General features: G+C 38.0%; 2 protein-coding genes across 18 annotated transcripts in view, besides 1 other annotated feature; one reads left to right on the plus strand and one right to left on the minus strand.

Annotated features, from left to right (window-relative positions):
• On the minus strand, positions 2,933-10,173 carry RAG2 (recombination activating 2). 5 transcript variants are annotated; one of them, NM_001243785.2, is made up of 3 exons: positions 10,039-10,173; positions 6,744-6,938; positions 3,880-6,132 (listed from the first exon to the last, which is right to left on the minus strand). In NM_001243785.2, the coding sequence occupies exon 3, from the start codon at positions 6,103-6,105 to the stop codon at positions 4,522-4,524; it is 1,584 nt and encodes a 527-aa protein (NP_001230714.1). In that variant the 5' UTR covers positions 6,106-6,132; positions 6,744-6,938; positions 10,039-10,173; the 3' UTR covers positions 3,880-4,521. The 5 variants fall into 5 exon arrangements, with proteins under 5 accessions (XP_047283341.1, NP_001230714.1, NP_001230715.1 ...); NM_001243786.2 differs by having other exon boundaries at positions 6,744-7,132; XM_047427385.1 differs by having other exon boundaries at positions 2,933-7,132.
• Positions 6,346-6,485: an enhancer, noted in NCBI's record as "active region_4634". NCBI's record gives its function as "activates an Ori minimal core promoter by ATAC-STARR-seq in GM12878 lymphoblastoid cells {active_cell/tissue: GM12878}" and the evidence as "EXISTENCE:reporter gene assay evidence [ECO:0000049][PMID:35858748]".
• IFTAP (intraflagellar transport associated protein) overlaps positions 6,439-13,962 on the plus strand; it is a 64,771-nt gene continuing 57,247 nt past the window's right edge. For 3 of the 13 annotated variants that reach the window (NR_077243.2, NM_001276722.2, NM_001276725.2), the window contains exon 1: positions 6,439-6,698. The gene's annotated coding sequence lies outside the window, so the exon portion shown is untranslated. Of the gene's footprint in view, positions 6,699-6,752; positions 6,853-9,580; positions 9,668-13,962 lie in introns of those variants that run through there. The other 10 variants (XM_011519885.4, XM_047426343.1, NM_001276723.2 and 7 more) reach the window with 6 other exon arrangements.

The following is a 13,962-nucleotide window of genomic DNA, read 5'->3' on the forward strand; positions in this document are numbered from 1 at the left end:
GGTTGCAGAAAGCCATGATGGTGCCACTGAACTCTAGCCTTGTGTGACAGAGTGATACTCCATCTCTAAATAAAAGAAATCTAAAAAGAAGAAAGAAAAAGAAAAAAAAAGAAAAAGAAAAAATAGTCTATGCTTCATGGGGAAATGGAAAATATTAGCATTATGTTTTGAAGAGTATCTGATGAGTAAGAGCTATTCTGTCATGCCCTCAGTCATTCAGTATTCATTCTTTCATGCAATAAATATGCATTTGGTAAGCATGATGACAAGAAACTGTTTCCATACCTAGATAAAGATTTTTGAGAAGTGAATTCGAGACAAAGATGGAGTGAGTAGACAATGTGGGTCCCAGGGAAAAGAACTCTTTGTACAATATACCTTGGGCTGAGCTGTGGAGTTGGGGAGAGCAATAGGAATCCCAGATTAGTTTCTGGGAGTCAGGAGCAGTGAGGATGTGCATCTTACTTCCGTGATAGGGCCCAGGAAAGCAGTAACATCCAGAGGTGAAATGGTAGTGATGTGTGTTTAGCCAGTGATAGTTCGGACGAGAATCTGTGGTCCAGAAAGCTGCAAGAGTAGTAAGATGTGCCCAAGAAAGGTACAGAAATAGACAATTTCCTAGATGGTCCCAAAGAGACCATTTGGCCATGCTGGGAAAGGAAGAGGCTGAATGATCTCCTTGTCATCATGTGAGCCCACCAGAGACCCAGAAAGCAGCATAGAGAGGGCTAGACATAAGGACGACTTGCAGTGAAGACTGGGCTGCAATTCAGGATCATCCTCCAAGTCTGATAATGGCAATGGATGTTGTAGCTGAAGTTAATGAGGAGGAATGATGACCCTAAGGACCAGACACTTCACCCTTCCTCACCCCTCTCCTGACAACTCAGCATTATATTTCTCCCTGGAACTTGGATGAAAGGTTGGGTAAAAATAGGTAGAACTCTAAAATTGTTGAAATTGTATTTCCAGCATACAGTCAAAGAGATGCATAATACAATGTAAGCTGAGTTAGAGAAAAATACAGCCAGGTTTATTTCTTGCACCCTGAGTATGTAAGCTGTAAAAGATAGTGGGTTCAGAGAAGGCTTCTAGAGGGAGGAGGTATCTAAACTAGGATGTAAAGAGTGAATAGAACTGGGCCAGATGGACCAGGGCATTAGCAGGAGCTGCAAAGTGCAAGAGGGAAAGTATTCTCTGCAGAAGGAACAGCTTGCTCAAAGGCCCTGGGGTTTGAAACAACCAGGGGTACTCACTAGGAGTGTTATCAGTTTGGCATTTTGGAAATTGAGTATAAAGTGCGAAGTGAGTAGTGGGGCTAAGAAATAAGCCAGGAGGGAACAGGTCAATGGACCGTTCATACTATGCTAAATGAGTGATTTATCTCTTTACCAAACTTCAAGTTCTTCGTTTTATCAATTTATGGTCTACCAAAAAGAGTATTATTTCTGACAAATCTGATCTTATAATTTGACTTTCAATGCAAGATGAGATCACATACCATCAATTATATCTTCTAATCTAGATTGTTTTATTAATCCTCTTATTAACCATAATTCAAGACCATTAGTCTTCCTCCCATCAGGCTACCTAAAATATTTTTATGTAGTCCTTGACGATGTGTCATCTAGATTTTGTATTTGTCAGTTGGAATGTGTATTATGTATGTTTATTATGGTAAAATCTCTGGCAAATACCCTCTTAAATAATTTTTACTCAGAGTGTCTGGATTTATTTCACAATGATAGAGAATAATGAAACTATGTTTTTGAACACAAGTATAACAAGAGTATACATTATTTTTCAGTTTATAATAATGTGCTTGGCCCTTATAACTGCTTACTATATGGGCAGAGCAGAATATGATTTTATTTTACTGATGAAAAATTGGATCCCTGGCCCCTGCCTGCCTCTCTGGGCTCATGCCATTCCACCCCTACTTGTTTACTGTGTTTTAACCAGGCTGACCTTTCAGTTCTTCAAAAGTAGCAAGCTTCATCTCTCCCCAGAGCCTTTGGAATAACAATTTCTTTTTCTTTACACTTTCCCTTTCCCCTAACACATTGAACTCACCTGTACTTAGAGATGTGTATAGTCCCCTAAAATGATTACCCTGGGAAGTCATATACTTATTTCTTGATACTACTCCTGTAGTCTTGTGCAAACAATTTTGAGACTTTCCTTTAAAACCCATTCATAAGCCATATCAGAAAATCCATTTTGTTAGCTTGTATTCACACTTTGTTTTTGACCTAAAGTGGTAGTGTAATACTGAAAATCTCACTCTGCTAGATTTCAAATGACACTTGTCTGTTTCCAGAAATTAAATCCATCTTTAATGAAGAAAGAGGTACAGCTGTTGAACATCTTCAAGGGAATGAATCATGGATTCTGAAGGTGATTGATTGAAATGTGAGTCCCTGAAACATTTTAGGCAAAGGCAATATTGTTGAAATAGGTGTCTGCTCTTCTAACACGGCTCATTTGAATGTTTGCATCAGCTTATTTGAAAAGCAGTGACCGTTATCTTAAAGTCACATCGAATAAACTGATTGCTGAGATGACATAAAAAAGACTTAATTGTACTCAAATATATAATCTGTATAACCAATCTGCATGCTCTTGAAACACACACACACACACACACGCACACACACACCCTCCCCCAAAAGCAGCTATACTGGTGAGATCTGAGTTTGACTATGAAATTCAGTGAGTTCACAACTGAATCACTTAGATTACCATATCTGGATCTCATTGGCTACAAAATAAATATGTGGTAATAATTCTTTAGCCACCAAATCACTGCAGACAAATCAAGAAGAGAGAATATACCTACTCCTTGGGGAAATTTCACTTTTGGACTCTGTAAAGGATATTTTCGCTCCAACTTGTGCCATTTTCTACTAACAAATAGAAAAAAAAATCAAAGTGGAGTGATCCTGAAAAAATTAGTTTAATTTTGCCGTTATTTAGGTAACATATCTTAATAATTAGAGTAAATCAATATAAATAGAAGATTTTTATATTTTATTATTTTTATATAGGTGATGGAAACAACAAAAGATCAAATCAATGTGCAACAATTGTTCAACAGGAATATTCAGCGAGCAACATTATTGAAACAGAGTGAATATGATTCAGTTTATCAAAGTTAATTTCAGTATCTGGGGACATGGAACTTTCAGCAGAAGAACTTGTACTCCAGCGTTTCATCTCTTGCATAATTCATGTTTCCCGTAAATTTGTTAGTTGTACCTTACACACTGTAGACTTTCAGTGAGGAGTAAGAGTCTTCACTGTAACTGTGGCTGAAGCTCTTAAGATAAGGTTTTTCCAGAAAATTTTTTTTTCCGGAAAATATTTCAGGAGGAAAGACATTTGTTTCTAAGGTCATCTAGTTATCAACTGATGTCTTGAACCCTTAAAATTAACAGTCATTTTAACTAGTTTCATCCTAGCGAGTGTCTAATTAGACCTTGGCAAGATCACTGATTTTATAATATTCACTGGCAGCAATCTCCACATGTTAACTACACACACACACACACACACACACACACTCACACAAATACATTTCTTTTCCTCCATTTAAATCTTCTGCCTGTAAATGTCATGAAATTCTTTAAACTTACATTATTTTGGGAAATAATATTATTCTTCTCCATGAGATTTATTTGGTGGTCCTTTCTTATTGTATTCTTACTCACTTCCTTTTTCCAGAGTACTAAGTAGCAATGGGCTCCAGTTTTCCATGAAAATTCTCACAAATAATTAGTTCAAATGACTGACTTTGGCACATCATTCATGCATCATATAATGGGGAGGGGAAATCCTTAAAGAAAATGCATACAAGTAATTCAGGAAAACATGTCAAACTTGATGTAGATTATTTATTTCTTCTTTTGTGTCAGTGGAGAACATTATCTATCTATATGTATACATATATTTATATTTATATCTACATCTGTAAAGCTATGAGAAACTAACTTGTTCATGGGCATAATCCAAAGGGTTGCTTGAAGGTATATAAAGAACACTAATGTGGGATGTAGTAGATCTTGCTTTTAAGTTTTGGCCAACTGCCGAATTGTTATGTTGCACAAAATAATCAATTTAATTCTTTTGGGTGTTAATTTCTTTATTGGCTAAATTTGTCATAAACACTTTATAGGTTATTTGTTACCAAGACTTATATAATAAATATAAACATACCTCGATGATTATTACTGCTTCTGGGTGTTTAAGGTTTGTTGAATAAAAAATCAGATCAGAAATCCTCAGTGAAGAATAAATTAGTAAATTGAGTATTTGGGTAAAATATTTTCAAAATGTATAGGGTCTAGAATGACTTTATTTATCATTGCATTATAAACACTTTTTTCTGGCCCTTAATTCATGTAACTAAAAGAAAACATAGGCATTTTAAATAAACAAAAATGTATTTTTAAAATCAATGTTATGATTTTAAAAATAGATTCAAAAATTCCATACACCTGAATCTGAAAGGCTTTTGCAAAACTAATCAAACAACCTTCTAAGAAAGGATTTCTTGGCAGGAGTCAAGATTTTTCCAGAACCTTTTTTACGGAGGGATTTCATTGGAGGCTTTTTTAAGGGTAGGACTCTTTGGGGAGTGTGTAGAGCTCTTGCTATCTCCACATGCTCATTGCAGTAATACTTGTTGCTTCCTGCTGACAGATGGATGAGTGTGCGTTCTGCCAGATCCATGCACTGAGCATGGACCCAGTGCCCATCCCCATGAGAGCAGTAGATCATGGCGGGTTTGTTGAGCTCAGTTGAATAGAATGGTACCCAAGTGTTGATATCCACATCACAAGTAGGGCAGCATGTAATCCAGTAGCCTGTCTCAGACTCATCTTCTTCATCATCTTCATTATAGGTGTCAAATTCATCATCACCATCAAAACTATTTGCTTCTGCACTGAAACAAAATTCTTCAGAGTCTTCAAAGGGAGTGGAATCCCCTGGATCTTCTGTTGATGTTTGACTGTTTGTGAATGTTGTCTGCTCTTCATTAGTATCATCTTCAGCACATTTCAACATATAGAAATAGAATCCTTCTGAAACAACTTGTTTATTGTCTCCTGGTATGCCAAGAAAAACAGTTCCATTTCCCATGTTGCTTCCAAACCATATCTTGCTGTGCTTAATGTCTGGGGTCCAATCTGGGGTCTCCATCTCACGAATTTCTATCTTGTTGTCCTCTAAAGAGATGATGTTGCAGATCATTCTTTTTTGATTTTCAAGCTGATAGCCACCAACAATAACAAATTCATCATTGTTAGTTTGAGTCAGGATTGCACTGGAGACAGAGATTCCTCCTGGCAAGACTGTGCAATTCACAGCTGGGCTACCCAGGGGAAGATCAACCCTTATTCTGTACAGGTTGGCAGGCCGGATATTATTGGCAAGTGAATGTCCTCCTAAAATATAGATGGTGTCATTTTTGGCAATAGAGACATGAAAAGATAGCCCATCCTGAAGTTCTGGAAGAATGTATGATGTAGCACACCCAAATTCAAAATCCACCAGGAAAACACAGGGCAGGCAGTCAGCTACACTATTCCATTTTTCTGTGGTTCTGTGGGTAGAAGGCATGTATGAGCGTCCTCCAAAGAGAACACCCATACTTTTCCCTCGGCTGTACACCACATTAATGGAATGACCATATCTGGCTTCAGGAACATCTCCTACCAAGTCTTTCTCTGTGCAGCGAAAAGTAACCTTTTTGTTGTTCTTGCAAACAATAGACATGACATAAATCTTATCTGAAACCTCATTGTTTGGTGTTTTCCCTCCATGGATGATGTATTGATGCTTTTCAGACTCCAAGCTGCCTTTGAATGTGCAAGTGGCTGGGTAGCGAAGAGGAGGGAGGTAGCAGGAATCCTTAGAGAAAATTGTAGGCTTCAGTTTGACATGGTTATGCTTTACATCCAGATGGAAAACTCCAGTGGGGCAGGATCTTTTGGGCCAGCCTTTTTGTCCAAAGAAGAAAACTTGTCCATCAAAATTCATCAGTGAGAAGCCTGGCTGAATTAAGGCTATGTTATTACTGACTGTTACCATCTGCAGAGACATAGTTTCTGATGGTACGTAGATTTTTGTCTGAAAGAATTATAAAATAAAATGACTTAGAGATCGCTTCATATAATCATCGTATTTAGATTCCTTCACATGTGAATAGCATTTTTTTAAGTCCTCCCACACGCTTGCAGTGGGACTGAATGAGGAAAATCCAAGGAGTTAGGTCAGTAAAGAGCCACAGAACCTTTACTGCCATTCCATCCAAGGAGCTGGGACATGTTTTAGCCACGGACTATATGCTCCCTAGGATTTCTGGGAATTGTAGTCCTTTTCCGTAAAGAGTCACCATGCGTCAGCTGAAAGAACCACATTTCCCAAGAATCCGTTCTCTCTGGGATGTGTAGCTTTGGAAATCTGTCTTTGTTGCTCTGGGAGAGGGGACTCCTGGAATGTGTCTGTGAATAAAGACTAGCCGAAGGTGCGAAGTGACTAGACGGGAGCAAAGGAGGAAAACTAGGGAATGGGAGGTGAGAGTGGCTGACACCGACCCAACGTCCGGGTTGCCGGAAGGCTGCAGCGCCCGGAGCGGTGTCGGGCAAACCGCTACCCTGGTATTGCTGGAGCCTCTCCTGGGGACTTTTGAACAGGTGACCCGATAGGAAGCACAACTGCTTCTGTTGGAGTGCGGTTACCTGGAGACCGCAGTCTGAAGGGACTCCCGGCAGAGATGTCGTTACGGTGTCCTGCCTGTCTGGATGCTTAGGAGCGCGACTCAAAACTACACCCCTGACGACCCTGGAGGTGCTTGGGGCGGGAGGTTGAAGGGGGCACCGAGGTTACAAAAGCCGTGACTGTCTTACAGAACCGAAAGATGGATCTTTGAATCCCTAGAGTGCAGGGGAGACATTGCCTGTTAAAGATGTTTACCACTTCTACATTTAGTAATAGAAATACAGTTATTAGGTTTTAACGAGTGCACTTTGAAGGTCCTTTGTTTTCTTCACTGTTTTTACTCCTGTTTTTAGGGTTCTTTTAGGGAAGCAGAGAAGGTTCCTAAACACATCTTCTTTTCATCTTCATTCTAGGAAAATAGAGTTAGTGGCTTTTTCACATCTTTCCAGTCCAAGAACTTTTGGGTAATTCTTTAATAATTCTGTAGTAAGTAAGCAGGGACTAAGCATAGAAGTGTTTGAATTATTCAGAATTTCATACTTGTGTTACAACAAAAAGAATATTTACTAGATGAAGGAAGCTTGATAAATTTCTATTTTATTATTGTTTACCTTAGAGAGTTGTGGAATACACTCCGTGTTTGCAGTGTGATGTCCTGTGCACCAAATGTTAAAGGAAACAAAACATAGCACAGATTTCTTGACTTTTAAGAGTTAATTCTTAATATGCTTCAAAAGCAGTATAAACAATGGCTGAGTGTGGACTCTGAATGCTTACTGGCTGGATTCAAATCCTGGCTCTGCCACTAACTACATGACTTTGGGCAAGTTATGTAACCTCTGTGTGCCTCAGTTTCCTCATCTGAAAACTGAGATAATAATTTTACCAACCTCATATATTGATGTCAGTTATGATTAATAGTTGAATATACGTAAAGTACTTAGAACAGGGATTTGCATATAGTAGACGATAGTTATGATTATTTTAAAATTTACCAAAAATAAGGTCTAGTGCATACGCACCTGCCAGTAATGGCAGTTGATAAGGTTGGAGAGGATGAGAAGGGGCTTTAGGATATGGGAATCAGGTCAGTGGGTATAGACAGATAAACATTTGAACTAAAAGAATTGGATAAACATATATGATGAGGGTGCTGGTAGTAGTTAATTTATTAACAGAAGATAGTTAATATTTTATTCTTCTTGTCACCCTTTGTCTAACTGGGGATAATCTTGGTATATATTCACTGGGCTGTTTTGAGAAATAAATGGGATAGCACGTGTAAATCACATAGAACAGTGCCTGGCACATAAACACTCAATAAATGTTAATTGATACTATAATTTATCTAATTTATCTTTATTCCTCCTGCAAAGATTCCTTGGACTATTTAGAATCTCTGGTCACTCTAATGAGATGGTAGTGTTTTTTTTTTGTTTTTTTTTTTTTTTGCTTTAAAGAACTTCTGTAGATCAGCTGTAATTTACTGCTAAATAATCTCTTGTAGTTATTATTTTCAGTCTACTTGGGAGACTCGTAAGGGGGTGATCTTTCAACAATTATCTGGTGGGTTATTAAAGCAGGTGAGGAAATGGTGTCTCAGAAGGATTATTATCAAAGTTATGAAAACAAGCCTGTCTCCCTCAGTTGTATATTCAGCAAACTGCCCTGCTTATAAAATAATCTAGGCAGTGTTTTATTTATATCATGGCCTACCCAAGCCTACATGAGGGAAGGCATCTGAGCAACTATGAAAAATGCTATTCATAGAAACTAAAAGGAGACATTATTGACCCTCACTTCAGAAAACTGTAGGTGATTACACTCAGCCTGAGTGATTATGATCAGAGAGTTGTCCCATTTTGGGTGGGGGGAACACCAAAGCCAAGGCCTGCTTGTTTCAAACACCTGTGATGACTGTTATTGAGATACAAGGCAAGCCATACAGTGGTAATGGATTCCAGATCCAAAGGGATTTTTCAAGAACAGTTGTTTTAAAGCAATGTTTTTATTGTCGCCTCTTGGTTTCATTTTAAGGTTGCTGTAGGAATTGTGGCTTCTCGTAAGTGAAAACATGATTATTGTAGATTACACAGAAACATTTTCTTGGGCAAGACATAAGGAGGATTGTCCATTTTTGTAGCTTAGTCTAGGCCCCTAAAGATTTTTGAAACAGGGCTTTTGACCTGTTTTCCCTTTGATGCTCTGCTTTTGGCTCATTTCATAATTTCAAGGCCCTAAAAACAGTGGTAAAGTTTCTTATTGCTAAGATGAATTACCTCCTCTTGTAACATGGTTCAAGTGTGAGTAATTAATTTTTAGATTACTCACTTTAACCAGATGATGTATGCATTTAAAGAATAAACAGGAACATTGAAAGTGTTTTCACATGATTTTGCCACATTTGGTTTTTGAAATTTTGCTTTATCAACTTGAATATATTTTTCACTGGAGTAGACCATTGTATCTCTTCCATAGTTTCAATATGACTGTATTAGTCACACCTTGGTTTTTAAAAAGAGTTTTTAAATGATTATACTATATCTAAAATAACCTACTGAAGTCTTTTCCTTTTAATAGGCTACATAAAAACAGGCAGATTTAAAAGAATAAGATCCTGTTCTTCAGCTGAGGGAGGCTTCAAGGTCAACACATTAAAGATTCTTTGTAAAGGACAGAAATATAGGACCAATAAATATATACAATTTTCCCAACCCCATGCTAACATTCTTCAGCAGGGAGATTTTCATTTATTCTCTCTGATGCTAGGGCATAGTTGAGTATAATGAAAGGACTCATAGTATGAGGTCTGGGTTTATAGTTCCTAATATCTGAACTGACTTTTTCTTTTCCAAAGAAAGATACTGTACTGTGAAACATTAAATCTTGCTGATCCGTGCTGGCCATGTTTTCTTGATTGCTCCAGAGTAGCAAGTAACCTCATGTAAGTAACTTCAGGCATTTAATGTGTGAATAACAGTATCTTGCACTGTTAATCAGGTTTGAGGCATATATTATTTTATTTCTGCTGGCAGTAAAACCAGGATTAGGTCTTCCTTCCTGTCTTAGGCCAGAGAACGATTTATGTACGAAGATTAATAATAGTGCTCTAAAGGCCTAATAATTAAATCCCTGAAGCAGCCAGAGAACAGAAAGCCCCACATTTTCCAAATTCTACTCATCCCTTCCCTATCTAGACACCAAATCCACTTGTGACTAACACACTGCCAAAATGTGGCATCTTCATTCCCTTAAAGTTTACTAACATAGGCTCCCATTTTTTAGCTTTGGTAGAAATGAAGGTATCAGACCTACCTGAAGGCCAGAGGGGCTGCTCACGCCTCTCTGAATCTTTGCCGCTAAACCAGGTATTAATTGTCAGCACTTGGGGAAGATTCACTGACTGCCCACTATGACTGTGGCAAGCAGAAGGCTGACTGTAAAGAGAGTGTGTATGTGTGCCTACAGATGTTCTTATGAACACTGATCTAATGGGAGTAACTGACTGTGACCTTTTTTTTTCTTTCTTTAGATGGTTGAGGGAGATACCCAACAGGGTGTACCCTCAGGATTTAACTCTTTCACTACTAGCAACAATGGCAACACAATTCACTATTTGTACAGATAAAAAGAAATCTGGGCAAAACTTGATTTTTAAAAATTAAGAACATTTTAGAAAAACACAGAAGAAATACATATAGTTTCTATGGTTTAAATAAACACTATTTTGAATCAAATGAGAAAGTATTTGTCCTGAAGCAGAGACCACTAATACCAGTGCTATTCATTTTAACTTTGAGGTACTCTTTTGTGGTCTCATTTTCTTTAATGCAAGGCTCAGAAGGAAGGAGTTGTAATTATTCGAGGCCCTCTACCAACTTTATATCAGGCAGCTACTGAGTAATAATACAGTGTAATGATTAAGAAAATGGGCTTTTGGGGTCAAGCTCACCTGGTTTTCTTTGCCAGCTCTGCTATTTTTCAGGTAGTAGAGTCATCTTAATCCTTAAGCCTCTGTTTTTCAGGTAGAGTCATCTTAATCCTTAAGCCTCTGTTTCTCTGTCTCTGAAATGAGGATAATAGAAATATTTACTTCAAAAAGTTGTCGGGAAAAGATTAAATGAGATAATGTATGCAAAGTGTTCAGCCAAGGAAGAGTTTAATATTCCATAGTGATCTTGATAGCAAAAACTACCTTTATAATTTCTTTTATTTTCTTTTTTTTGAGATGGAGTCCCGCTCTGTCTCCCAGGCTGGAGTGCAGTGGTACGATCTTGGCTCACTGCAACCTCTGCTACCCAGGTTCAAGCGATTCTCCTACCTCAGCCTCCCGAATAGCTGGGATTACAGGCACACGCCACCACACCCAGCTAATTTTTGTATTTTTAGTGGAGATGGGGTTTTGCCATGTTGGCCAGGCTGGTCTCAAACTCCTGACCTTGGGTGACCCACCTGCCTTGGCCTCCCAAAGTGCTGGGATTACAGGAGTGAGCCACCTCGCCCAGCCTATAATTTCTAATAGTAGCATAATTTCTAAATGCAACCTAATTTACCTAACCTTCCACTATTGTTGGTCATTTGATCAGTTTCCATATGGCTTAGATGATAAAATGTAATGATCAGAGCTAGGCAAATCTGGGTTTGAGTTTCAGTTCTGTGACCTTTTTGAGTGTCAGTTTTCTTATCTCTAAAATGGCAATAATAACTACCTTATTGTAAGGATTAATGGATTAAAATGTCTATAGAATGTACATAGTAAATCTTACCTAATGATGAAGATGTACATATATTACCTAAATATATTTGCATAAGTGACTAATTTTTTGCAAAATTTTAGTGTATATTTTCAGGGTTGATTTTTTTTTAAACAGATGTATGTAGCTCAGTTGATTGGTTGATTCTCATCATTTGAAATGTCGATCCATCCTTAAAAAAGCATCGTCATCTCTTCTAGTTCCTTCTGTGATGATTTTTTTAATCTGCAAAAGGATATTGGGTTATTTCCCTAACCTATTTATGTGTTATATAAAGTGTTGTATAATGATTAAGATACTTGAAATTACAGCAACCATAAGGACAACTGTCATAAAATTGATATATTGGATGTCTTCACTGTAAATACAAAATAAGAAATGCAAAAATAGAAACCATGGATAGATTTAGATGTGTTTTAGCCTTTGGATTTTACTAACATCAAAAAACAGGCAATTTTTAGCATAACAATTAGTTGCTGAATGGGTTAGTTGTCTCTTGACAAGACTAGAAATTAGTAGCACATTTGAAAATGGGTTTTAAGACTCCAAGTCCTTGCTATACCATTAGGAGAGCATTAGACTTACAGTGATCTCATACAAGGTTCCTGATCTCCAAAAGTCCTCAGCATTGAAACTAAATATAAAATAGTAAACTATATTTATTGAGCATCTACTATGTACAAAGCCATGTGGAGAATTAGAAAAAAAATCAGACACAGGTCTTGCCCTTAAAGCAGGGGTTGCCAATCCCTGAGCCACGGACAGGTACGGTCAGCAGTCTGTTAGGAACAGGGCTTCACAGCAGGAGGTGAGCCGCAGGCCGGCAAGCCTTACTGCCTGAGCTCTGCCTCCTGTCAGATCTGCTATGTGGCATTAGATTCTCATTGGAGTGTGAACCCTGTTGTAAGCTGTGCATGTGAGGGAGCTAGGTTGTGAGTTCCTTATGAGAATCGAATGCCTGATGATCTGAGGTGGAATCGTTTCATCCTGAAACTGTCCCCCTCACTCTGGTCCATGGAAAAATTGTCCTCCACGAAACTAGTCTCTGGTGCGAAAAAGGTTGGGAACTACTGCCTTAAAGAACATATATGATAGTAGAATGAAGCAACTTTTGGTTGCAGATGAACATGCCTTACATTCTTCCCACATTCAGCTTTTCTTAAAAGTTCTTCGAAGTTCATTAAGAAATCACAGTTATAAGTTGCTCAGCCCATTTTTAAGCCTTGAGGCAGAGTAAAACAGAGTAAACAACCTTTATCTTATGGGAAAAATAAAAACTTAGTAATGGGATATCCTGGCCTAGTAATTGGACAAAAAAGGAAACATAATTGGAAAAAGAAGATGGAAGCCAACCTCAAGCCCCATCCCTTTATTTTTACACTCAAACTACTCAGGATCAGAAAAGTTTACATAAATTGACAAGGGTAACACAGCTGCAGTGGTCTGTGGATATGATGGGTTGGAGGGAGGCAGAGGAGAAAGACTGTTCTGTGAACTCATGACAGTGCATTTCAAGAAATGTAGTGCATCTCTCAAGCGTTTCCATCCCCATTTTATAAATGGAGAAACAGCTTAAACTTCATTGTCTCTCAGTGAGTTAACAAGTGTTTGCAATAAGGTCAGTGGCAACTTTTCATAGCATTAGGATAAGCATAGACAATGATTAGTGTTTTACTAAGTGGCAGATTTTTGAGGAAATAAGATAAATTGTGTTGGAAAGGTAGATGTTTGGCTCGTTGAATGAATTCCACAATAGGAGCCACAACTGAAACTGACAAAGAAAAGAGGAAGGAAGAGGAAATGTATAGAAGGAAGCAATTTACAGTTAGTATGATGTATTGTCAAGAGAAGAACATGACAAGTGACTTGACATTTTTTATTTAAAGCAATTAGTTAGATATGGCCACCTGACCAGAATGACTGGTATCGTCCTAAAAAATTTCATGATCTCTGATTTAAGGTGGATTCTTTTCTTGAAAACAAAATAGAGAAAACATTTCAGAGGAGTTTTGCTAGAAAAATGTTCTTGCTAGAAAAAATTTACTGAAATACTTTATTTTTAGAGAAGGAAAGGAGTTAGGAGTTTGTGATTCTTTTTATTTTTTATTTTATTTATTTATTGATTTTTTTGGAGACAGGGTCTTGCTCTGTTGCCCAGGCTGGAGTGCAGTGGCATAATCTTGGCTCAACTCAGCCACCACCTTCTGGGCCCAAGTGATCCTCCCACCTCAGTCTCTCAAGTAGCTGGGACCACAGGTGGACACCATCATGCTCAGCTAATGATTTAATTTTTTGTAGAGATGAGGTCTCACTATACTGGCCAGGTGGTCCTGAACTACTGGGCTAAAGTGATCCCCCATGTTGTCCTTCCCAAGTGCTGGGGTTACAGGCACGAACTGTGCACCTGGCCTGATTCTTAATTTCTATCTTTGAGTATAGAAACCATATTGGCAAAAAGAAATTATATATATATGTGCATGTGTGT

The sequence above is a fragment of the Homo sapiens genome, chromosome 11 (genome assembly GCF_000001405.40).
Source record: "Homo sapiens chromosome 11, GRCh38.p14 Primary Assembly".
Lineage (NCBI taxonomy): Eukaryota > Metazoa > Chordata > Mammalia > Primates > Hominidae > Homo > Homo sapiens.